The sequence below is a fragment of the Homo sapiens genome, chromosome 11, assembly GCF_000001405.40.
Source record: "Homo sapiens chromosome 11, GRCh38.p14 Primary Assembly".
NCBI classification, from domain to species: domain Eukaryota; kingdom Metazoa; phylum Chordata; class Mammalia; order Primates; family Hominidae; genus Homo; species Homo sapiens.
In genome coordinates, this window is record NC_000011.10 from 62661316 (window position 1) to 62684333 (window position 23018).

The following is a 23018-nucleotide window of genomic DNA, read 5'->3' on the forward strand; positions in this document are numbered from 1 at the left end:
ACAGTGAGTCAAGATCGCGCCACTGCACTCCAGCCTGGCGACAGAGCAAGACTCCGTATCAAAATAAAATAAAATAAAATAAAATAAAAATACATATTAGGTATTTAATCAATGTTAAATGTCTTAGCTGTGATTACAGTATTTTGGCTACATAGAAGGATGTCCTTAGGAGTAAGGTTTCATGTTGTCTATATTTGACTTTCAAAGGATTTCATTCAATAAGGACAAGAAAAATGCAGATACAGAAGTGTAGCACAATGTTAATAACTGGTAAATCTAAGTAGAGGGCATATACCAGGGCTCATTTTACTAATCTCTTCTCTTTACTGAAAGTTTTTTTTTTATTATTATTACACCAGTAATCCCAGCACTTTGGGAGGTTAAGGTGGATGGATCGCTTGAGTCCAGGGGTTTGAGACCAGCCTGGGTAAAACTCCATTTCTACAGAAAATTTTTTAAAATTAGTCAGGGGTGGCCGGGCACGGTGGCTCACACCTGTAGTCCCAGCACTTTGGGAGGCCGACGTGGGAAGATCACAGGGTCAGGAGTTCAAGATCAGCCTGGCCAACATACTGAAACCCTGTCTCTACTAAAAAATACAAAAAATAAGCCAGGCCTGGTGGCAGGCGCCTGTAATCCCAGCTACTCAGGAGGCTGAGGCAGGAGAATTGCTTGAACCCGGGAGGCAGAGGGTGCAGTGAGCCAAGATTATGCCATTGCACTCCAGCCGGGGCTACAGTGTGAGACTCTGTCTCAAAAAAAAAAAAATTAAAATAAAATAAATAAATAAATATATATATATATAAATTAAAATGAAAATATAATGCAGCAAAAGAAGTAAGACAGAAGAGGTAAGGTGTCTTGCCTACCTTAGTCACACAGAGGCAGTGGCAGAACTGGTATCAGGACCTTTACCTCTGCTATCCCTACAATTATCTATCTATATTTTTCGAGACAATGGCTCACTCTGTTGCCCAGGCTGGAGTGCAGTGGGACAATCTTGGCTCACTGTAACTTCAACTTCTCGAATAATCTGTATCTTTGTCATAAATGGAAAGTTAGAGTATCACTCACTAAGGAGACAGATGAGATCACAGCACACTACAGCCTTGAGTTCCTGGCCTCAAGCAATACCCCGGTAGGCAATCTCCGCCTCCCGGGTTCAAGCGATTCTCCTGCCTCAGCCTCCAAGTAGCTGGGATTACAGGCGTGCACCACCACGCCCGGCTAATTTTTTGTATTTTTAGTAGAAACGGGGTTAGCCAGGCTGGTCTCGAACTTGTGACCTCAGGTGATCCACCTGCCTCGGCCTCCCAAAGTGCTGGCATTAGAGGCGTGAGCCACTGCACCCGGCCAGGCACCACCACTCTTGAGGGCAGAGGCTGGCATCTTGTTGCATTTGCACAAGGAAGCTGTGGGTACTGCTTCCTCACTGTCTTGTTTCCATACTCCCCAATCTTTTCATGACCCATCCCCATTCCTACATTTAATCACACACATCTCAGAGTGCTAGGGCTTTATTACAAATGGAGTTGACTGCTAGAGAGGCCCTTCTCCAATCTTTCTTCTGTACCTTCTTCCCTCCCAAAGACATCCCTCTAGGGGAGGTCAGTAGGCCATTAGGTAGGAGGAAATCTGGAGAGTGAAAAGGGGCCTTGCTTTTGTCAAAGTCCTCTGAAACAACCACTGAGTCTGAAGGCTGGCTCCAGTTGAGAATCTTCTAGTGGAAGAGGTTTAGCTCTCATCTTCAAGGTCCTTCATTTCTACATCCTGGGGGGCTTTTGTCTTCTTTTGCCTTTTGAGCTGTGGTTCACTAGTCCTGGCTGGCTTTGAAGGGGCTTCCACTGAGTAAAGGGAAGAAGGAAGTATTATCCCAAATAAATCCAGGATTCCCCTCACCCACCTCTGTCCCAGCCTCACCTTCCATGGCTGTCTTCTCTTTCTGGGCAAGCCGGATCTGCTGGAGGAGTTTTCTGCGCTTCTTCCCTGACAGTGTAATGTTGGCACGTGCACTGGACCTGATGGGTAAGTGGAAATAAAGAGAGCTAGGTTAACCTGAACCAACTGAGGTCACACAAATAGTTCTGGCTATAGAAAAAGTATTAAATAGGCTGGGCGCAGTGGCTCACGCCTGTAATCCCAGCACTTTGGGAGGCCGAGGCGGCTGGATCACGAGGTCAGGAGATCGAGACCACGGTGAAACCCTGTCTCTACTAAAAATACAAAACATTAGCTGGGCGCAGTGGCGGGCGCCTGTAGTCCCAGCTACTCGGGAGGCTGCGGCAGGAGAATGGCGTGAACCCAGAAGGCGGAGCTTGCAGTGAGCCGAGATCGCGCCACTGCACTCCAGCCTGGGCGACAAAGCGAGACTCCGTCTCAAAAAAAAAAAAAAAAGGAAAAGTATTAAATAAATATAATATAAATAGTAATAGAAACCCTAAATATTTACATTGAAGAAGCTAATGAAAGGACATAGATCGGGGGCGGTGGCTTATGCCTGTAATCCCAACACTTTGGGAGGCTGAGGTGGGCGGATCACCTGAGGTCAGGAGTTCAAGACCAGCCTGGCCAACATGGTGAAACCCCGTCTCTACTAAAAATACAAAAATTAGCCGGGTGCAGTGGGGAGCACCTGTAATCCCAGCTACTCGGGAGGCTGAGGCAAGAGAATAGCTTAAACCCAGGAGGCAGGGGTTGCAGTGAGCCGAGATCATGCCACTTCACTCCAGCCTGGGCAACAGAGGGAGACTCTGTCTCAAAAAAGAGGAAAAAAAAAAAAAAAAAAAAAAAGGACACAGAAAGTAATTAATGGGATGGGAACTCTTCCTCAAGACACAGGAGGCCTTGAAACTTACAAGTGAAATCCTATGAGTGCCTTTGGGAAAATTCTTCGAGTTTTATGCGCCTATGTGTGCACTTTTCTGTATGTAAAAATAAGTTTACTTATAAAAATCTGTGTGAATGTATAACATTACTTGGAGAATGGAGAGCCAACAGATTTCCTGATATTCTTTTTTTTTTTTTTTTTTTTTTGAGACGGAGTCTCACTCTGTGGCCCAGGCTGGAGTGCAGTGGCGTGATCTCGGCTCACTGCAACCTCCGCCTCCCAGGTTCAAGCAATTCTCCTGCCTCAGCCTCCCGTGTAGCTGGGACTACAGGTGCCGGCCACAACGCCTGGCTAATTTTTGTATTTTTAGCAAAAACGGGGTTTCACCATGTTGGTCAGGCTGGTCTCGAACTCCCGACCTCAGGTGATCCGCCCACCTCAGCCCCCCAAAGTGCTGGGATTACAGGTATGAGCCACCATCCCCGGCTTTCCTGAGATTCTTAACAGAATCCAAAACCCAAAGAAAGGTTGTCTGCTACAGGTATTGTGAGAGGCTATCAGAGCTTAGGAACTAACAGCCGACAGACATTCCCCGCATAAGCGTCAGTGCACAAGGTGAGCTGAGAGGTGAAGCTGCTCCGGAGCTCTGCAGGGAGGAAGGAAGACTCGGTGGGGACGACCAACAGGAAGAGGGTCTAGTACTTACGCCCGCTTCTTGAGGTGGTGCCGCGTGATCAGCCCTTGGTCTATCACAGCCCCGACCACCCGGTGCCTCAGACGCCGCTCCCGATTCAACACCCGCCGGCGTTTGAACAGCTTCTTCTTCAGCTCCTGCCGGGGAGAAAGATGCGAATCAGATGGAGTGGGCTCGCCGCGACCCGGGGCCCCTCCACCAGGCAGCCCCGGCCCCTCACTGATCCCATCTCGTGCGAGATAAAAGGGCTCAGGAACGCTTGAGGAAACAAAGTCGCGGCCCCCACACAGTCACCGTTCGGGGCCGGTTGATCTTTCCCCCCGGAGCTCCCATAGTCGCGATTCCACTCCAGTTCACGGTCCGTACTTCCGCTCAGCGCCGGATCCGCGGGGCTCCGCCCCGGCCTTCCGCGGGCCAATCGCAACTCGGGGGCGGGTCCTCGGGCTATATAAAGGAGCTCCGCGGTGCGGGAGGCCTTTCGGAGGGTGGTGAGCTAGTAAGTGTGGTTTTAGCTGTAGTAGCCAGATTGGGCGGCCGGGAGTGGTGGGGGTGCCGGGTGGAAGGCTCTGGGCGGGGTCTCAGGACCCTCCTTTTCTTGGCGGGGATCGGGCTTGTGGTGCCGCTCCCCGTAATGTACGGAGGAAGAGGGAAAGGGCTCTGGCCCCCTCGGCGTCATGTCTTCGGTGCTGGCGGCTTCCCATCCGCTGGTTCTATCCTCAAACGCCGGGACACCGGGAATCTCGGAGAAGGACAACCGAGATCCAGCTGGCTCCTCCATCGGGGTGCTCACACTTTCTCATTTGATTTCAGGTCTGCGGACGCTGTATACCCTCCTCCACTTCCCGCTGCAGCCAATAAAGGCCGTTCCTACCATAGTCTGTGTCCGCGTTCTTTTTTCCGGGACTGCAGAGTTCGGGGAAGCTGTACGCCGCCTTTCGCTACGCGGAATTTGCAGATCTTCCCCTGGACCTCAGGCCTCTCCGGCTGGAGTAGGGTGGACGCTTCACATAAGCTTCTCTGGTCGAACTTACCCGAATCTCCAGATGGCCGCGCTGCGTCGAATGCTCCACTTGCCGAGCCTGATGATGGGGACGTGCCGCCCCTTTGCGGGTAGGGAGGTGGGGGCAGAGTGGAGAGGGCAAGGTGGGGGCAGAGTGGGGAGGGTAAGGTGGGTTCCTCGTGAGTCAGGAGTGTAGTCCCTGAAATTGTGATTCTCAAACCCTACGGTGGGCCGTGCGTGGTGGCTCACGGCTGTAATGCTAACACTTTGCCAGGCCGAGGCGGGCAGATCGCTTGGCCCAGGAGTTCGAGACCAACCTAGGGCAACATAGCGAGACCCTGTCTACAAAAAAAATTAACCGGGCACGATGGCGCCTATAGTCCTAGCTACTCAGGAGGCTGAGGTGGAGGCTTCAGTGAGCCATCATTGTGCTACTGTACTCAACCCTGGGTCACAGAGTGAGACCCTGTCTCAAAAAAAAAAAAGACGCCAGTGTGTATATACGACGTTTTTGCAGTGGCGACATAGACCAAGTGACACCCTCCAACCGTGCCCACAGGCTCACTGGCTGATAGTTGCCTGGCGGACCGCTGTCTCTGGGATCGGCTGCATGCCCAGCCTCGTTTGGGCACTGTCCCCACCTTCGACTGGTTCTTTGGATACGACGAAGTCCAGGGGCTCCTACTGCCATTGCTGCAGGAGGCACAGGCTGCCAGTCCTCTGCGAGTGCTGGATGTGGGCTGTGGGACTTCCAGCCTATGTACAGGCCTCTACACCAAATCTCCACACCCAGTGGATGTGCTGGGGGTGGACTTTTCTCCTGTGGCTGTGGCCCACATGAATAGCCTCCTGGAGGGTGGCCCAGGCCAAACACCTCTATGCCCTGGACACCCTGCCTCAAGCCTCCACTTCATGCACGCCGATGCTCAGAACCTGGGGGCTGTGGCTTCTTCAGGCTCTTTCCAACTACTGCTGGACAAAGGCACATGGGATGCTGTTGCCCGGGGAGGTCTGCCTAGGGCTTACCAGCTTCTATCAGAATGCTTGAGGGTTCTAAACCCTCAGGGGACCCTGATTCAGTTCTCAGATGAGGACCCTGATGTGCGACTGCCCTGCCTGGAACAAGGGTCCTATGGCTGGACTGTGACTGTGCAGGAGCTAGGCCCGTTCAGGGGCATCACCTACTTTGCTTACTTGATTCAAGGCTCTCATTAAAGACATTTTAGTAGTCCTGACCCTAGTATTTCTGTGGGCAAGGAGAGGGCTGAAGAACTGTCTTTGCAAGCTATCTGGCTGCAAAGTGAGAATTTGAGTCCTGGCTTCCACATTTACTAGCTGGGTGCCATATTGCTGAATGTTTCTGTTCCCCAGTTTACTCATCTGCAGAGTGAGAATAACTTGGAGTTACGGAGATTACATACAATGATGTGCGCAATATTTAGCACAAAATGAATGCTGAAAAGAGAAGGTACAATTGGGTCATTCCCCAGTTTCAACTAACTGGAGCTCCTAAAAGCAGCAGACAGGAACTGAATCAAAACCCCTGCGCTGACTGACTTGTATAATCTAGTGGCCTAACCTGTAAGCCTCATTTTTGTCACCTGTAAAAGGAGATTGTAAGAGGATGGGTATAAGGAGCTTCATAAACCTGGATGAGATATTTGAGGGGGAGGGAACAATACTTACCCTCAAAGCTATTAGGAGGCAGGAGATGGGAATATTCCACAAAGCCACTTCTACAAACACGGGAGCCTGTTGAGTCCCAGAAGGGACAGTGGTTGGTGGCTTCCAGACATGCTGTGTCCTCAAGAATCCAACAAGCATCTTCTTCATCCTGGTCCTGCCCCCAGCTGAGTCCAGCGTTAAATGTTCTTAAAGGACTTCTAGGGTCCTGTGGGCTCCAAGCCCAGCCTGGGATGGAGGAAGAGAGGGGACAAAAATATTACTGATATATTATCAAATTACAAAACTAGGCCAGGCATGCTGGCTCATACCTATAATCACAGCACTTTGGGAGGCCAAGGTGGGCAGATTGCTTGAGCCCTGGCAATAAAGTGACACCCCTAACTCTACAAAAACAAATGAGCCCGGGATAGTGGCACAGGCATGTAGTTCCAACTACTCAGGAGGCTGAGCTGGGAGGACTGCTTGAACCCTGGGAGGTCAAAGCTGCAATGGGCCATGATAAGCTGCTGCACTTGAGCTAAAAATTAATTTCTGTGGTATTTTTTGCTTATAAAAAAATAGAGCAATTATATCACTAAGAGCCTAACCTCGCAGCCTCAATTTTCTCATTTATAAAGGGGAAGTACCTTCATTGGGTTGTTCTGAAAATCATGAAGTAAAAGTGTTTAGCATAGTACCTGGTACATAGTAAATGCTCAAAAGAATGTAGCTTCTTGGGAGGCTGAGGCGGGCAGATTGCCTGAGCTCAGGAGTTTGAGACCAGCCTGGGCAATATGGTGAAACCCCATCTCTACTAAAATACAAAAAAAATTAGTCGGGCGTGGTGGCCTGAACCTGTAGCCCCAGCTACTCAGGAGGCTGAGGCAGGAGACTTGCTTGGACCTGGGAGGCAGAGGTTGCAGTAAGCCGAGATCCTGCCACTGCACTCCGCCTGGGCAACAGAGGGTGACTCTGTCTCAAAAAAAAAAAAAAAAAAAAAAGTAGCTTCTGTAACAGTACACAGACGGGGCCGGGCGCGGTGGCTCACGCCTGTAATCCCAGCACTTTGAGAGGCCCAGGCAGGCGGATCACAAGGTAAGGAGATCCTGGCGAACAAAGTGAAACCCTGTCTCTACTAAAAATACAAAAAAATTAGCTGGGCGTGGTGGCGGGTGCCTGTAGTCCCAGCTACTCGGGAGGCTGAGGCAGGAGAATGGCACGAACCCAGGAGGCAGGGCTTGCAGTGAGCAGAGGTCATTGCCACTGCACTCCAGCCTGGGGGACAGAGCAAGACTCTGTCTCAAAAAAAAAAACCAAAACCAAAACAAACAAACAAAAAAACAGTACACAGAGATGAAAAAAGTCTAGAAGAGAAGGTATCGAATATGTAAACTATTTTTAGGTAGTTGGTCTTGGGGTAATTTTTTTTGTTTTTTGTTTTTTTTGAGGCAGAATCTGGCTCTTGCCCAGGCTGGAGTGCAGTGGTGGGATCTCAGCTTACTGCAAACTCCACATCCCGGGTTCACGCCATTCTCCTGCCTCCCGAGTAGCTGGGACTACAGGCGCCCGCCACCACGCCCGGCTAATTTTTTGTATTTTTAGTAGAGACGGGGTTTCACCATGTTAGCCAGGATGGTCTCGATCTCCTGACCTTGTGATCTGCCCGCCTCAGCCTCCCAAAGTGCTGGGATTACAGGCGTGAGCCACCGCGGCCAGCCTTAATCTGTACTTTCAAAATGTTTACATTGCTGCAGGAAAAGATAAAATTACCCCAAGACTGGCCGGCTTGGGAGGCTGAGGCAGGAGAATGGCGTGAACCCAGGAGGCGGAGCTTGCAGTGAGCTGAGATCGCGCCACTGCACTCCAGTCTGGGTGACAGAGCGAGACTCAGTCTCAAAAAAAAAAAAAAGAAGAAAAAGAAAGTACAGATTAAAGGATGGCACCCATTCTGATACCAAAACTGCTCTCTACAATTCATCAACTTTGCCAGCTGCCTTTTCTCTCCCACATCTTCACATTTATTGAGCACCTGCTGTGTGCCTGGCACTGCTGAATGCAGGGGCCGTAACTGACTTCCATCTTGGCTCTGCCCAGAACATTCAGCTCACAGTGGCCCCCTGAATGAGCCACCTCCCTCACCTGGCTCTTCACTTTGGTCTTGGAAGAAGGCCTCAGCATCCTCTTCCTCACCATCAGTGAGCAGCAGCAGCTCCTCATGGGGCAAATGGAGATCCCCACTCTCTTCATTCACCTCACTGGATTCCACCACAATAGACGGCAGATGGGACTTTTGAGAGAAATCCTGAATAGGGACAGCAGGGAGGTTGGGCCAAACTGGAGGGTAAGCCAGCTGCCAGACACAGGCTGAGGAAGTACTAACCTGAATGTGCTGGTGACCTTCAACCTTGCCAATTTTTCCTCTGTCCCAGAGAGGGTTGGGCAGCCTGGGACTTTCTGGATGCTGGGAGGAGCCTGGGCTATTTCTAGTCCAAAGCCCATCCTCCTTGCTTCTCCCTGGCACAAGGGCCATGGTGGTGATTCTTAGAGTGCAAGATGATTGAACTCAGAGGAGAGTACTGCTGCCCAGTGCACCCCACAAACTGTTCCTTTAATCTTCTTTGGAGCCTGGCCCCTTAAGCACCGACTGTGCTAAGCGATTATACGCTTTCAGGGGAGGGGAAAATGCCCAAGAGGTGAGATAGGATCTTTATTTCTACTTACTCCCTGGAGACACTGGGATGGCAACAAGGGTAGGAGACAAGGGCACCTGGATTAAAGCCCTGTGGGCCAAGAGTTGTGATAACCAACTTGGAATTTCCTGACTCCTATGCTTACTGATTTTTCCCAACCTGGTATGTTTGTATGTTATTTAATGAATATTTATATGGTGTTTACTCTTTGGCAGGAGCTGTTTTAATTGCTTTACATATAACTAATTTAATTATCCTAAAACTGTGAGACAAGTACTGTTGTTATAAGCTTCATTTTCTGATGCAGAAACCGGGGCACAAGAACTTGCCTATAATCAGTCACACAGCTAAGAGGTGTTTTCTTCTGTAAAGCAGAATTCAGTATGTTACACGAATCCAGCCTTTTAGTGGTTGAAAACAAAGCAAAACAGCCGGGCGCGGTGGCTCACACCTGTAATCCCAGCACTTTGGGAGGCCGAGGTGGGCGGATTGGGCGGATCACGAGGTCAGGAGTTCGAGACCAGCCTGACCTACATAGTGAAACTCTTTCTCTACTAAAAATACAAAAAATTAGCCGGCCGTGGTGGCGGGCGCCTGTAGTCCCAGCTACTCGGGAGGCTGAGGCAGGAGAATGGCGTGAACCCGGGAGGCAGAGCTTGCAGTGAGCCGAGATCACGCCACTGCACTCCAGCTGGGCAACAGAGTGAGACTCTGTCTCAAAAAGCAAAAAAGAAAACGAAGCAAAACAAAAAGCAATACCAGCCGGGCGTGGTGGTGCACGCCTGTAATCCCAGCTATCCGGGAGGTTGAGGCAGGAGGATCGCTTGGGCCCTGGAAGTCGAGGCTTCAGTGAGCCATGATCGCGCCACTGCACTCCAGCCCTGGGCGACAGAGCGAGACCTTGTCTCCAAAAACAAACAAAACCACGCCCACACACTAACAACAACAACAAAACCAAAAAAAAACCCAAACAATACCAAGTGTGTACCATGACGAGAAAAGGAATAGGTTGTTTGTAAAATAAATGTTAAAGATAAGTAACTATTACCCATTTCTCCAACCAGTATACTTGACTTTGAGTGTTTGTTCCAGAGTTGAGGGGATGGAGAGGGATGTGTATGTGTGTAGATGCCCTCCATGCGCTGTGTTGAAAACGCGCGGGTGACTGCAGGAAACCACAGAGCACAGCTCGGGCCTCTACTGATCGGGAAACGTCGGAAGACAGAAAAATGGGCAATCATAAAACCCACGGCAACCATGAAGACACGCACTCTCCCCCTAGCAATCCCACCCCGGAATTGAGGACACAGGGTCCCCGCGCTCAGCCCTTGGTGCCAGCACTTCTTGGACACCTCAACCCCCTCAGCTAAACCTGAGATCCAAGCGCTCCGGATTCCAAACGTTTCCTCGAGCAGGTCCTCTCTAGCCGGCCGCTTATCTATGGTTTCTGCTATAGGGCGCTCTAGCCTGCGCCAAGGGGTAGTGAGACCGCGCGGCAACAGCTTGCGGCTGCGGGGAGCTCCCGTGGGCGCTCCGCTGGCTGTGCAGGCGGCCATGGATTCCTTGCGGAAAATGCTGATCTCAGTCGCAATGCTGGGCGCAGGGGCTGGCGTGGGCTACGCGCTCCTCGTTATCGTGACCCCGGGAGAGCGGCGGAAGCAGGAAATGCTAAAGGTAGAAGCAACTGGTAGTCCCGAGGAAGGGTGGGCGGGTGGAGAGCCCCGGACTGGAGCTCCTGCGAACTCCCCTTCCTGCCCTCAGGAGATGCCACTGCAGGACCCAAGGAGCAGGGAGGAGGCGGCCAGGACCCAGCAGCTATTGCTGGCCACTCTGCAGGAGGCAGCGACCACGCAGGAGAACGTGGCCTGGAGGAAGAACTGGATGGTTGGCGGCGAAGGCGGCGCCGGCGGGAGGTCACCGTGAGACCGGACTTGCCTCCGTGGGCGCCGGACCTTGGCTTGGGCGCAGGAATCCGAGGCAGCCTTTCTCCTTCGTGGGCCCAGCGGAGAGTCCGGACCGAGATACCATGCCAGGACTCTCCGGGGTCCTGTGAGCTGCCGTCGGGTGAGCACGTTTCCCCCAAACCCTGGACTGACTGCTTTAAGGTCCGCAAGGCGGGCCAGGGCCGAGACGCGAGTCGGATGTGGTGAACTGAAAGAACCAATAAAATCATGTTCCTCCACCCAGAATGAGCCCTGCAGTCGACACCTACCAATGCTTAGAGACGCGTGGTCGGTGCTGGGGGCGCGGCCTGGAGCTGCTGCCTGTCCCACCCCACCAGAAGAGGCTGATCCCGATAGGTATCTGACCACATTTTTTTTTTTTTTTTTTTTTTGAGACGGAGTCAATGTCACCCAGGCTGGAGTGCAGTGGCACGATCTCGGCTCACTGCAACCTCCGCCCCTGGGTTCCAGCAATTCTCCTGCCTCAGCTTCCCGAGTAGCCGGGATCACAAGTGCGCGCCACCAAGCCCAGCTAACTTTTGTGTTTTTAGTTGAGACAGGGTTCACCATGTTGGCTAGACTGGTCTCGAACTCCAGACCCAGGTGATCCGCCCGCCTCGGCCTCCCAAAGGGCTGGGATTACAGGCGTGAACCACCTCGCCCTGCCGCGGCCACATTTTTTCTTTTTTTTGAGATGGAGTCTTGCTCTTGTCACCCAGGCAGGAGTGCAGTGGCGCAATCTTGGCTCACTGCAACCTCTGCCTCCTGGGTTCAAGCTGTTCTCCTTACTCAGCCTCCCATGTAGCTGGGATTACAGGCGTCCGCAACCACGCCCGGCTGATATTAGTAGTTTTAGTAGAGGCGGGTTTCACCATGTGGCCAGGCTGATCTCGAACTCCTGACCTCAGGCAGTTCACCCGTCTCAGCCTCCCAAAGTGCTGGGATTAGAGGCGTGAGCCACTGCGCCCGGCCAACCACATTTTCAAAACAGGTCATGTGGTGTCAGGTTGGAGTGTACTTCCAGGGATAACCGTGGGACATTCTTGAAATCTGAACTATCCTGGGAAGTCTTGAAGTAATGGATGCCTATAGTGGACACTCAGGACTCCTGTCCTTGGAGCGAGATTGGAGGGGCATCTAGCACTTAACATATGCCACAATGCTTTCTGTGGCCATTATTTAACCTCTGGTTAAACAAGCTTAGGAGGCTGACTTACTAGTAGTAAAAGGAGTGTGCTTTGAGTCACAGATCCTGGTTGAACTCCAGCATGTTACAAACCTCAGCCCTGTTCTATGAAAGGTCATAACTACGAGGATTATTGTAAAACATTAATTTAGAAATGTAAAGTGGTCCCCAATCTCTGGATCTGGTCAGGATTTATTGGAGCTGCCACTGAGGGGATTAAATAAGTGGGGTCAAAGCCCCACAGCCTAGTCAACCAAGTTGCTCCTCTTTTGTCTATCCTGTGGTTCCCAAGCAAGACTGCAATTGAAAAAAAGGCTGCTGTTATTAAAGTCAGAACACCAAATAAAGCTTTTTTTTTTTTTTTGAGACAGAATTTCTGTGTTGTTGCCCACGCTGGAGTGCAATGGAGCGATCTCAACTCAATGCAACCTCCGCCTCCTGGGTTCAAGCGATTCTCCTGCCTCAGCCTCTCCAGTAGCTGGGACTACAGGGGTGCGCCACTATGCCAGGATAATCTTTGTATTTTTAGTAGATACAGGGTTTCACCATGTTGGCCAGGCTGGTCTTGAACTCCTGACCTCAGGTGATCTGCCCGCCTCAACCTCCCAAAGTGCTGGGATTACAAGCATGACCCGCCGTGCCTGGCCCAAATAAAGCTTTCTAACACTGGGGTGTAAACCCAGATATAAGTATTGGTGCTCTTTTCAGCTGCTGGAACACATGTTACATGTGATCTTTACAGAGTAACTGTGGCCTTTCTCCTAGTCCAGGAAGGAGTGGAGTCAGGAGCAGTTTGACAGGACAGCAGGGTGGGGTGATCAGCAGCCAGAGGGACTATCATAGATAAGCTCATCAGTGCTTCTTGGTTGGTTTTAAAAAGCAGAGAGAAGCGCCAACATGGTGAGACCCTGTATCTACTAAAAATACAAAAATTAGCTGGGCATGGCGGCACGTGCCTGTGGTCCCAGCTACTCGGGAGGCTGAGGCAGGAGAATCGCTTGAACTCAGGAGGCAGAGGTTACGGTGAGCCGAGATCGTGCCACTGCACTCCAGCCTGGGTAACAGAGTGAGGAGATGTCTCAAAAAAAAAAAACAAAAAAACAAAACCCTTTTAGCCCAGCATTTTGGGAGGCTGAGACAGGTGGATCTTGAGGTCAGGAGTTCAAGACCAGCCTGGCCAACATGGTGAAACCCCATCTCTACTAAAAAATACAAAGAATTAGCTGGGTGTGGTGGCACACACCTGCAATCCCAGCTACTCGAGAGGCTGAGGCAGAATTGCTTGAACCCGGCAGACGTTGGTTATAATGAGCCGAGATTGCACCACTGTACTACAGCCTGGGATCTAGAGCAAGACTCCACCTCAAATAAGTAAATAAAATTATCCTTTTAGTAGCTAATGCTTACTGGGGACTTATTAGGTACCAGGCACTATGCTAAAGCATCTTATACCAGCATTATGTAACCCTCATGACAATCCCAAGAAATAGGCACTATTCCTATTCTATTAAGAAGCTAGGTTTTCTGGGTGAGATGTGAAATAACTTAAATGACATCACTAAGGTAGCAAAGCTGAAGGAAAAGTATAAGAAGGATGTTCCTGACTATAAGTAGAAAGGTTGGTTTGATGATGCAAAGGGTCCTGCTAAAGTTGCCTGGAAAAAGGTGGAAGAGGAAGATGAAGAGGAGGAGGATGAATAAAGAAACTGTTTATCTGGCCAGGCACAGTGGCTCAAGACTGTAATCCCAGCACTTTGGGAGGCAGAGGCGGGCGGATCATCTGAGGTCAGGAGTTCAAGACCAACCTGACCAACAAGGTGAAACCCTGTCTCTTAAAAAAAAAAAAAAAAAAAAATTAGCTGGGCGTGGTGGTGCATGCCTGTAACCCCACCTACTCAGGAGGCTAAGGCAGGAGAATCGCTTGAACCCGGGAGGTGGAGGTTGCAGTGAGCTGAGATCGCTCCATTGCACTCCAGCCTGGGCAACAAAAGCAAAACTCCATCTCAAAGGAAAAAAAAAAAGAAACTGTTTATCTGCCTCCTTGTGAGTACCTTAAGAGTAGGGGAGCCCCGTAATGGACACATCTCTTATTTGAGAAGTGCCTGTTGTCCTCATTAGGTTTAATTACAAAATTTGATCATGATATTGTATAGTCTCTCAAAGTACTCTAAAAATTGTCAGTGGTGGCCGGGCGTGGTGGCTCACGCCTGTAATCCTAGCACTTTGGGAGGCCGAGGCGGGTGGATCACTTGAGGTCAGGAGTTTGAAACCAGCTTGGCCATCATGGTGAAACGCTGACTCTACTAAAAATACAAAAAATTAGCTGGGCATGGTGGTGCGCGCCTGTAATCCCAGATACTTGGGAGGCTGAGGCAGAAGAATCCCGTGAACTCAGGAGGCGGAGGTTGCAGTGAGCCAATACTGTGCCACTGCACTCCAGCTTGGGTGACAGAGCAAGACTCCATTTCAAAAAAAAAAAAAAAAAAGAAATTCTCAGTGGTTTACATGAAGTGGCCATGGGTGTCTGGAGCACCCCAAAGCTGTATCAAAGTTGTGCATATTTCCAAACATTTTTAAAATGAAAAGGCACTCTCATGTTCTCAATAAATAAATAAATAAATAAATAAATAAAGCAGCAGGCCGGGCGTGGTGGCTCATGCCTGTAATCCCAGCACTTTGGGAGGCCAAGGCAGGCGAATCACAAGGTCAGGAGTTTGAGACCAGCCTAGCCAACATGGCAAAACCCCGTCTCTACTAAAAATGGAAAAAATTAGCTGGGCGTGGTGGTGGGTGCCTGTAATCCCAGCTACTAGGGAGGCTGAGGCAGGAGAATCGCTTGAACCTGGGAGGCAGAGGTTGCAGTGAGCTGAGATTGCGCCACTGCACTCTAGCCCAGGCAACAGTGCAAGACTCCGTCTCAAAAATAAAAATAAAAAAGCAGCAGCTGGGCTTTTATTTTCTGTCTTACCATAGGAGTAAAAGGTGCCATCCAATGTACTCTCCACCCCTTTTAGCACCTCTCCTCCGCAACTTCCCCAGCAGTTAATCAGACCCAGAGATTACAAACAAGTGTCTTTGTTGGAAACTAAAGATGAGGAAGAGGGTCTACTGTTCCGTTTTAGCCTCTTCCTCTGCCTTAGTTTTGTCCCTCCCAGCCATTCAGGAAGGAGTCAGGCATGTACAGAACTCAGGGTCTATTTATTAGGAAGGAGATGTCAGTGCTTTATCAAAGATGAAGGGGTCACAGAGGGACAATGGGACAAAGGCCCTCAGCTGGGACATTTCTTGGCCACAATGAGAACAGCAGAAGGCACGAGTCCTGAAGATGGAAGAAAACAGGCTTGAACCACAAGGATACTTGGTTTTTGCTCCCAAAATTCCTGGCCTTGCACCATGTTCACAAAGCCCCTTCTCTTTGCATCCCTCCTTTTCCTAGGCATGCCTCCCTACTCCCCCAGTTTCTAGTCCTGGTTTCTAGTCTTGCAGCCATACCCAGCTCCTGCAGAGGCCGCTCCATGTCAGCTTCTGAGAAGGCCCGTCTGGGGAAGCCACTGAGCAATTGCACAGGGTCCTGGCCCCCACCTAGTTCCTCCCCACGGTGGAGCTCCACATAGAGCCTCACAGCTGCCAGCTGTTCCCGGGCCCGGAACGTCTGGGTCAGTGAGGTCCCATCTGGCAGCCTGACCTAAAGGGCAAGGGAGATACTCAGTATTGTGGGCATCAAAACTGAATGAGGTGCCCAAGTAAGGAAAAGAGCTAAAGCTGGGCCCCCTTCTTCTTAGATTGAACCAGCACAACTACTATTTAAAGCACCAAATGAACAGCCACTTAGGCTCCGCTTTACTAAGTGCGGATGAGAGACTCCCAGCTCCCTCACAACCTAAGAAAGACAAGGATAAGATTATACAAAAGAATCTGGATAAATACCACATCACCAGATAGCTACATAATAAACCAAATAAAAACATGAACAAGTAAAAGGGTAACTGCTGAGTAAGAGAGAGGTATGGGTTTAAATACAACTGGGGCAGGTGAAATTTGATACCTTTCCCAAGAGTAGAGATAGGATTTCAAAAGTCATTTACAAAGAAGGGAGAGATTTGGCAAAGGGCACGTTAACTGAAAAAAGCTCTGAGCTGGGCACCTTAACACGGAACAAAGGGGTCCCAAGAGGAAGATAAGAATTAGAATCAGTACCTGTATGCGACACTGGTCATACTCCCGCTTGGTGGGAGGCTCCTGGCTGGGAGAAGAGGGAACAGGACCTGGCTCTGGTGCCACTGGGGGTGGCTGAGAGCCCACACTGCCACCATACTAAAGGGCAAAGTAAAACAGTCAATCAGGTACTCACCCATCCTCAGGTGAAACAGATCATATAAGCCCATGCTTTCCCTCTGAAGCTGGAAAAGATTTACTAACCTGCCCACTCCATTACCCGTGGCGTCTTCTCAGTCACCTACCTTCTTGGCTCTCTCTGCTTTGTCCCTCTCGATCTTTTCTCTAACTCTTTGTCTGAAATGTAGACAAGAAGAAATTAGGTCAGACATCAACAAAGCAAATCTTGATTTCTTTCTCATCTGCTATCCATCATTTCCCCTGCCCAGACCTGGCTGCTAACTCCTCGGCCTTTTCCCTCCGCCTCTCCTCAGCAGCCCGGCGCATCTCATCTTCCTGTAGCCGCTGTCGTGCTGCTGACAACTCTTGCCCTTGTCTCCTGCGCTGCCGTTCCCGTTCCAATGCCTCCCGTTCCTCTCTTTCTTCACGCTCCCGCTGCTTCTGGGCCACCAGCTCCAACATCCTGTGTTGCCGAGGGAAAACAGTTCAAGAGAAATGGACAGAGTGGGAAGGTGTAAAGTTTACAATAAACAAAATTAGGCGACATATATCCCAAAGTAGATTAAAGGAAAAGAAAATGCCAAGAAAGAGGAAATGTGGAAAGGTCAAGGTTCTTTGACCAGACGTGTACTGGGGAGAGATGGAAGACGACCCTCAGACACGTGAGATTGTTGTTACTGTACCTCTTAGTTTGTTCCTGTCTTTCCTCTTCACTCAAAGCGGGTTTGCCTTCTCCGGCAGCAGAACCAGATCCTACAAACAAACAATCGGTATTATTATCCCTTCAGATTCTCCTCGGACCCTCCTGAATAATCACACCGTGGACCCTCAGTCAGGACCTTCAAGGCCGCCTTGCTCTGAGGAAGTGGGCTCCCGTCCCAGGATATGTCCAAGGGGAGTCTCTAAAGGCTCGTCCACATCGGGGTCGTCTTCGTGCTCCATCAGCCTGGCAGGGAAAGTGGGCGGGGAGGTTAGCTTTGAGGCTGCCCCTCCCGCCAGCCCCCAATTCTCCGCCACCCGGGACGAGCGCTTACCAGTCCATCGCAGCCTCGATGCCCTGGTTCCCTGTGAGGGCCAGAGCCTTCTCCCTGGGGGCAGAAACACCATGAATAGCGCCCACGAGCCATGGTGACGGTCAGGCTGGGGCAAAGGCCGAGACAGGTCCGCGACCCCCCACACCCGCAGGCCGGGGTTGGGGAACTCCCTTACGCGCGTCCCCTGGGGAAGCCCATCTCGATGAGACTCTCAAGAGCCGTCAGCTCCGCCATGGCGCCGACACCGCGGCTTCCGCGGGGACCTGGTGTGTGACGAGAAGGAGGGCGGGAAGGGTCAGCGCGAGGCAACCCGCCCTCGACACCCGCCGACGGGCGCTCGCTCTCTCACCCGGCTCTATAGCAGCCGGGAACACCGACGAGAAGAAAGCCGAGGGGAAGCGGAAGTGCCGGATCTGTTTGGGTCACGTGGGGGCGGATGTCGACGGGTGCCGCTGAGAACCATAAAACTTCTGGCCCTGCTGCCAGGACTTTCCGTGGGTGGGAACAGGGAGGCAACCCACCAAGCCAAGGCGCCAGGCTGCTGTGGGGAAGAAAGCTGGTGCGGCTCTGAAACCCGTGGGCGGAATGAAGCCAGTTCCCGGAACTTCATCCTGCCTCACCCTCCTTAGAAATTAGAAGGAATATGGTCCCTTAGCGCAATGCTTTGGGAAGTTCTTTGGCAATGTTTGCCAGGAGCAGAAGAAATGTCTTGCTCTTTGGCCCACTCATTCTCCTTAGGGAATTGAGCCATCCTCTGCCTGACTGCCAAAGGGATTTTTGCAAAACACAATCATGTAGTCCTGTCTTCACCTCCCTGCTTAAAAATCCGTGACACTTCCACCATCTAGGACAACTTACTTTTTTTTTTATTTTTTATTTTTGAGATGGAGTTTCACTCTTGTTGCCCAGACTGGAGTGCAATAGTGCAGTGGCGCGATCTCTGCTCACTGCAGCCTCCGCTTCCCGGGTCAAGCATTTCTCCTGCCTCAGCCTCCCGGATAGCTGAGATAACAGGCGCCCACCACCATGCCCAGCTTTTTTTTTTTTTTTTTTTTTTTTTAAGAGGGAGTCTCGCTCTGTCGCCCAGGCTGGAGTGCAGTGGCGCGGTCTCGGCTCACTGCAACCTCCGCCTCCTGGGTGCATGCGATTCTCCTGCCACAGCCTCCTGAGTAGCTGGGATTACAGTCCCACGCCACCATGCCCGGCTAATTTTTGTATATTTAGTAGAGACAGGGTTTCATCATGTTGGTCAGGCTGGTCTTGAACTCCTGACCTCATATGATCCACCTGCCTCGGCCTCCCAAAGTGCTGGGATTACAAGCGTGAGCCAACGAGCCTAGCCATTTTTGTATTTTTAGTAGAGATGAGGTTTCTCCATATTGGTCAGGCTGTTCTCGAACTCCTGACCTTAGGTGATTCACCCACCTCGGCCTCCCAAAGTGCTGGGATTACAGGCGTGAGCCACCACACCCAGCTATTTTTGTTTTTGAGACAGGATCTGGCTCTGTCGCCCAGGCTGGAGTGCAGTGGTGCAATCTTGACATACTGCAACCTCAGCCTCCTGGGCTCAAGCGATCCTCCCACTTCAGCCTCCCAAGTAGCTGGGACTACAGGCACATGCCACCACACCCGGCTAATTTTTCTTTTTCTTTTCTCTCTCTCTCTCCTTTTTTTTTTTTTTTTTTTTTTTTTTTTAGACAAAATCTCACTCTGTAACCCAGGCTGGAGTGCAGTGGCACAATCTCAGCTCACTGCAACCTCTGCCTGCCCCGGGTTTAAGCGATTCTCCTGCCCGAGTAGCTGGGATTATAGGTGGCTGCCACCGCGCCTGGCTAATTTTTGTAGTTTTAGTAGTGACGGGGTTTCACCATCTTCACCAGGCTGGTCTTGAACTCCTGACCTCATGATCCACCCACCTTGGCCTCCCAGAGTGCTGGGATTACAGGTGTGAGCCACCGCGCCCGGCCTAATTTTTCTATTTTTTGTAGAGACGGGGTTTCGCCATATTGGCCAGGCTGGTCTCCAACCCCTGAGCTCAAGTGATCCACCTGCCTCGCCCTCCCAAAGTGCTAAGATTAAAGGCGTGAGCTACATACTCGGCCATCTGGGACAACTTAAATGCTAGTGGTCTGACTTCCTTCTGCGCCCACCTTGGCTTTTTTTGCGGGGAGGGGGGTTAGAACCCCCTCTCAAGTGGAGATCACAATAGCACCTACTTTGGTGCCTGGCAAGGCAGAGTATGTAAATGCTGGTAGTTATTGTGCAGTTTCATCACCCACCACTTGAGGGTAAGCTGTGCATATTGCAAACCAGACTTCACCCTCCTCTTGGCCTGTGCACCAACCAGTCTCCGCCTAGGATGTCCTGTCTCTTCACTTAGTAAACTAACTCCCAGGAGTTTTTCAGGATTCAGGATTTGCCTTCTAAGAAAAGCCTGCTTTGACCACTGCTGTCTGCCTTCCAGCTACAGTATTTAACCCATTAAGCATTTATCCCCACTGCTGTGAGTCACTGTTGATTACTTTGTGCTCCACCACTACCCGGGCTGTTAGATTCCTGAAAGTGAAGCTCACTTTAAATGTTTATTAGAAGGTAGAGTAATAATGACAATAACAGTTACTGATATTGATAATATATGCACTAGAGACTTGTGTGTGTGTGTGTGTGTGTGTGTGTGTGTGTGTGTGTGTGTGTGAGAGAGACAGGGTCTCACTTTGTTGCCAGGCTAGAGTGCAGTGGTGGGATCTTGGCTCACTGCAACCTTTGCCTCCCAAGCTCAAGCTGTTCTCATGCCTCAGCCTCCCGAGTAGCTGGGATTACAAGCACCCGCCACCACATCGGGCTAATTTTTGTATTTTTTAGTAGAGAAGGGGTTTCATCATGTTGGCCAAGCTAATCTCGAACTTGTTACCTCAGGTGATCCACCTGCCTCGGCCTCCCAAAGTGCTGGGATTACAGGCGTGAGCCACCGTGCCCGGCCTGCTAGAGAATTTTGTATGATTAATCCATATTTAATCATCACAACAATCCCTATGATGTAGAAGCTATTTTTAGTCACAAAAAAACAGACTCAAGGCCAGGCATGGTGGCTCACACCTATAATCCTAGCACTTTGGGAGGCCAAGGCGGGTGGATTACCTGAGGTCAGGAGTTCGAGTCCAGCCTGGCCAACATGGTGAAACCCTATCTCTGCTTAAAAAAACATAAAAATTAGCCGGGCATAGTTGCAGGCTCCTGTAATCTCAGCTACTCAGGAGGCTGAGGCAGGAGAATTGCTTGAACCGAGGAGGCGGAGATTACAGTGACCCGAGATCGTGCCATTACACTCCAGCCTGGGCAACAAGAGTGAAACTCTGTCTCAAGAAAAAAAAATAAAAAAACAAAAAACAGACTCAGAAAGATGTTTTTTTTTTGGCCAGGCACGGTGGCTCACGCCTGTAATCCTAGCACTTTGGGAGGCTGAGGCGGGCAGATCATGAGGTCAGGAGTTCGAGACCATCCTGGCTAACACGGTGAAACCCCTTCTCTACTAAAAATACAAAAAATTAGCCAGGCGTGGTGGCACACACCTGTAATCCCAGATACTTGAGAGGCTGAGGCAGGAGAATCACTTGAACCTGGGAGGCGGAGGTTGCAGTGAGCCAAGATTGTGCCATTGCACTCCAGCCTGGTGACAGAGTAAGAGGCCGTCTCAAAAAAAAAAAAAAAAAAAAAAAAGGAAAGATGGGTTTTTTTCTGAGACAAGGTCTGGCTTTATTGCCCAGGCTGGAGAGCAGTGGCACAATCTTGGCTCACTGCAACCTCCTTCTCCCAGGCTCAAGCCATCCTTTCACCTCAGCCTCCCAAGTAGCATGTACCACACCTGGCTAACTTTTGTATTTTTATTATAGTAGAGGTAGGTTTCCGCTATGTTGCCCAGGCTGGTCTCGAACTTGTGAGCTCAAGCCATCCCCTGCCTTGTGCTGGAATTACAGGCGTGAGCCACCATGCCCAGTGCTGGAATTACAGGCGTGAGTGCTGTAATTACAGGCGTGAGTGCTGGAATTACAGGCGTGAGTGCTGGAATTACAGGTGTGAGCCACCATGCCCAGCCAAGATGAGATAATTTACCTAAAGTCACAAAGTAAATAACAAAACTAGGATTCAACCCAAGGCAGTGTGTGTTCTCTAAACCACTATGCTATGTTGCCTCTCCACGGTAGAGTGACAAGCATGGGCTTTATTTTTTTATTTTATTTATTTATTTTTTGAGACAGAGTCTCCGTCTCAAAAAATGAAATAAATAAATAGTAATAATAATGAGATAGTATGACCTCTCGTTATTTGTAAATAAATGAATGCTAAGGAAGGCCGGGCACGGTGGCTCATGCCTATAATCCCAGCACTTTGGGAGGCTGAGGCGGGCGGATCACGAGGTCAGGAGATCTAGACCATCCTGGCTAACACAGTGAAACCCTGTCTCTACTAAAAATACAAAAAAATTGGGCGTGGTGGCAGGCGCCTGTAGTCCCAGATACTCAGGAGGCTGAGGCAGGAGAATGGTGTGAGCCCAGGAGGCGGAGCTTGCAGTGAGTGGAGATCACGCCACTGTACTCCGGCCTGGGAGACAGGGACTCCGTCTCAAAAAAAAAAAAAAAAAAAAGGAAAAAAGGCACAGGGTATTCACTGCAGTATTATAACAAGTGTATTCAGGATAACATATGTATTCTTTTTTTGTTTTTAGAGATGGAATCTCACTCATTACCCAAGCTGGAGTGCAGTGGCACGATCTCAACTCACTGCAACCTCTGCCTCCCTGGTTCAAGCGATTCTCCTGCCTCAGCCTCCCGAGTAGCTGGGACTACAGGCGCCCGCCACCACACCCAGCTATTTTTTGTATTTTTAGTAGAAATGAGGTTTCATCATGTTGGCCAGGCTGGTCTTGAACACGTGACCTCAAGTGATCTGCCCACCTTGGCCTCCCAAAGTCCTGGGATTACAGGTTGAGCCATTAAGCCCAGCGGGGATAACATAGTATTCTAAATTTATTGTAGAGGTTCTATAATAGAATAAATTTTTTTTTTGAGATGGAGTCTCACTCCGTAGCCCAGGCTGGAGTGCAGTGGCGTGGTGTCAGCTCACTGCAACCTCCACCTCTTGGGTTCAAGCAACTCTCCTTTGTCAGCCTCCCAAGTAGCTGGGACTACAGGTGCCTGCCACCACACCCAGCTAATTTTTGTATTTTAGTAGAGATGGGGTTTCATCTTGTTGGTCAGGCTGGTCTCAAACTCCTGACCTCAGGTGATCCAGCTGCTTCAGCCTCCCAAAGTGCTGGGTTTTAGGCATGAGCCACCATGCCTGGCCTTCTTTTTTTTTTTTTTTTTTTTTTGAGACGCAGTTTCACACTTGTTGCCCAGGCTGGACTGCAATGGCGTGATCTGGGCTCACTGAAACTTCCACCTTCTGAGTTCTTTTCTTCTTTTCTTTTTTCTTTTTCTTTTTCTTTTTTTTTGAGATGGAGTCTCACTCTGTCGCCCAGGTTGGAGTGCAGTGGCATGATCTCCACTCACTGCAAGCTCCGACTCCCGGGTTCATGCCATTCTCCTGCTTCAGCCTCCCGAGTAGCTGGGACTACAGGTGCCCACCACCTCACCCGGCTAATTTT

At 50.4% G+C, this 23018-nt stretch overlaps 5 protein-coding genes and 1 non-coding gene across 22 annotated transcripts, besides 10 other annotated features; 3 read left to right on the forward strand and 3 right to left on the reverse strand.

The window, feature by feature from the left end:
• Positions 1-1501: 1501 nt before the first annotated feature.
• C11orf98 (chromosome 11 open reading frame 98) lies at positions 1502-3901 on the reverse strand. Of its 2 annotated transcripts, NM_001286086.2 has the most exons (4): positions 3816-3895; positions 3534-3658; positions 1921-2018; positions 1502-1844 (listed from the first exon to the last, which is right to left on the reverse strand). In NM_001286086.2, exons 1-4 carry the CDS (start codon positions 3852-3854, stop codon positions 1735-1737), a joined length of 372 nt encoding a protein of 123 aa, NP_001273015.1. In that variant the 5' UTR covers positions 3855-3895; the 3' UTR covers positions 1502-1734. The 2 variants fall into 2 exon arrangements, 1 of the variants encoding a protein (NP_001273015.1); NR_104414.1 differs by having other exon boundaries at positions 3534-3901.
• On the reverse strand, positions 1502-10952 carry LBHD1 (LBH domain containing 1). Of its 12 annotated transcripts, NM_001394604.1 has the most exons (8): positions 10249-10952; positions 9925-10073; positions 8567-8700; positions 8326-8488; positions 6208-6432; positions 3534-3658; positions 1921-2018; positions 1502-1844 (listed from the first exon to the last, which is right to left on the reverse strand). In NM_001394604.1, exons 2-8 carry the CDS (start codon positions 10013-10015, stop codon positions 1814-1816), a joined length of 867 nt encoding a protein of 288 aa, NP_001381533.1. In that variant the 5' UTR covers positions 10016-10073; positions 10249-10952; the 3' UTR covers positions 1502-1813. The 12 variants fall into 12 exon arrangements, with proteins under 12 accessions (NP_001381533.1, NP_001381525.1, NP_077004.2 ...); NM_001394596.1 differs by lacking the exon at positions 9925-10073; NM_024099.5 differs by lacking the exon at positions 9925-10073 and having other exon boundaries at positions 8567-8726.
• Positions 3997-6793, forward strand: CSKMT (citrate synthase lysine methyltransferase). Of its 2 annotated transcripts, NM_001043229.2 has the most exons (3): positions 3997-4017; positions 4332-4631; positions 5081-6793. In NM_001043229.2, the coding sequence occupies exons 2-3, from the start codon at positions 4565-4567 to the stop codon at positions 5734-5736; spliced, it is 723 nt and encodes a 240-aa protein (NP_001036694.1). In that variant the 5' UTR covers positions 3997-4017; positions 4332-4564; the 3' UTR covers positions 5737-6793. The 2 variants fall into 2 exon arrangements, with proteins under 2 accessions (NP_001036694.1, XP_005274289.1); XM_005274232.6 differs by having other exon boundaries at positions 3997-4631.
• Positions 4107-4255, forward strand: SNORA57 (small nucleolar RNA, H/ACA box 57). Its single transcript, NR_004390.1, has one exon. It is a non-coding gene; the product is annotated as a small nucleolar RNA, H/ACA box 57 (small nucleolar RNA).
• Positions 4115-4344: an enhancer, noted in NCBI's record as "active region_4834". NCBI's record gives its function as "activates an Ori minimal core promoter by ATAC-STARR-seq in GM12878 lymphoblastoid cells {active_cell/tissue: GM12878}" and the evidence as "EXISTENCE:reporter gene assay evidence [ECO:0000049][PMID:35858748]".
• Positions 5015-5124: an enhancer, noted in NCBI's record as "active region_4835". NCBI's record gives its function as "activates an Ori minimal core promoter by ATAC-STARR-seq in GM12878 lymphoblastoid cells {active_cell/tissue: GM12878}" and the evidence as "EXISTENCE:reporter gene assay evidence [ECO:0000049][PMID:35858748]".
• Positions 5175-5224: an enhancer, noted in NCBI's record as "active region_4836". NCBI's record gives its function as "activates an Ori minimal core promoter by ATAC-STARR-seq in GM12878 lymphoblastoid cells {active_cell/tissue: GM12878}" and the evidence as "EXISTENCE:reporter gene assay evidence [ECO:0000049][PMID:35858748]".
• Positions 5245-5344: an enhancer, noted in NCBI's record as "active region_4837". NCBI's record gives its function as "activates an Ori minimal core promoter by ATAC-STARR-seq in GM12878 lymphoblastoid cells {active_cell/tissue: GM12878}" and the evidence as "EXISTENCE:reporter gene assay evidence [ECO:0000049][PMID:35858748]".
• Positions 9042-9783: an enhancer, noted in NCBI's record as "H3K27ac-H3K4me1 hESC enhancer chr11:62437829-62438570 (GRCh37/hg19 assembly coordinates)". NCBI's record gives its function as "activates a minimal SCP1, AML or CMV promoter by ChIP-STARR-seq in primed H9 embryonic stem cells {active_cell/tissue: H9 hESC(primed)}" and the evidence as "EXISTENCE:reporter gene assay evidence [ECO:0000049][PMID:30033119]".
• Positions 9784-10523: an enhancer, noted in NCBI's record as "H3K27ac-H3K4me1 hESC enhancer chr11:62438571-62439310 (GRCh37/hg19 assembly coordinates)". NCBI's record gives its function as "activates a minimal SCP1, AML or CMV promoter by ChIP-STARR-seq in naive and primed H9 embryonic stem cells {active_cell/tissue: H9 hESC(naive and primed)}" and the evidence as "EXISTENCE:reporter gene assay evidence [ECO:0000049][PMID:30033119]".
• On the forward strand, positions 10358-12371 carry UQCC3 (ubiquinol-cytochrome c reductase complex assembly factor 3). Its single transcript, NM_001085372.3, has 2 exons — positions 10358-10550; positions 10638-12371. The coding sequence occupies exons 1-2, from the start codon at positions 10431-10433 to the stop codon at positions 10797-10799; spliced, it is 282 nt and encodes a 93-aa protein (NP_001078841.1). The 5' UTR covers positions 10358-10430; the 3' UTR covers positions 10800-12371.
• Positions 10524-11265: an enhancer, noted in NCBI's record as "H3K27ac-H3K4me1 hESC enhancer chr11:62439311-62440052 (GRCh37/hg19 assembly coordinates)". NCBI's record gives its function as "activates a minimal SCP1, AML or CMV promoter by ChIP-STARR-seq in naive H9 embryonic stem cells {active_cell/tissue: H9 hESC(naive)}" and the evidence as "EXISTENCE:reporter gene assay evidence [ECO:0000049][PMID:30033119]".
• Positions 10632-10791: an enhancer, noted in NCBI's record as "active region_4838". NCBI's record gives its function as "activates an Ori minimal core promoter by ATAC-STARR-seq in GM12878 lymphoblastoid cells {active_cell/tissue: GM12878}" and the evidence as "EXISTENCE:reporter gene assay evidence [ECO:0000049][PMID:35858748]".
• Positions 11032-11161: a silencer, noted in NCBI's record as "silent region_3425". NCBI's record gives its function as "represses an Ori minimal core promoter by ATAC-STARR-seq in GM12878 lymphoblastoid cells {active_cell/tissue: GM12878}" and the evidence as "EXISTENCE:reporter gene assay evidence [ECO:0000049][PMID:35858748]".
• Positions 15185-17758, reverse strand: UBXN1 (UBX domain protein 1). Of its 4 annotated transcripts, XM_017017874.2 has the most exons (10): positions 17724-17758; positions 17550-17637; positions 17375-17428; positions 17180-17286; positions 17024-17093; positions 16612-16803; positions 16466-16517; positions 16203-16319; positions 15498-15690; positions 15185-15324 (listed from the first exon to the last, which is right to left on the reverse strand). In XM_017017874.2, exons 2-10 carry the CDS (start codon positions 17606-17608, stop codon positions 15275-15277), a joined length of 894 nt encoding a protein of 297 aa, XP_016873363.1. In that variant the 5' UTR covers positions 17609-17637; positions 17724-17758; the 3' UTR covers positions 15185-15274. The 4 variants fall into 4 exon arrangements, with proteins under 4 accessions (XP_016873363.1, NP_001273006.1, NP_056937.2 ...); NM_001286077.2 differs by having other exon boundaries at positions 17550-17758; NM_015853.5 differs by having other exon boundaries at positions 15185-15690; positions 17550-17758.
• Positions 17517-17846: an enhancer, noted in NCBI's record as "active region_4839". NCBI's record gives its function as "activates an Ori minimal core promoter by ATAC-STARR-seq in GM12878 lymphoblastoid cells {active_cell/tissue: GM12878}" and the evidence as "EXISTENCE:reporter gene assay evidence [ECO:0000049][PMID:35858748]".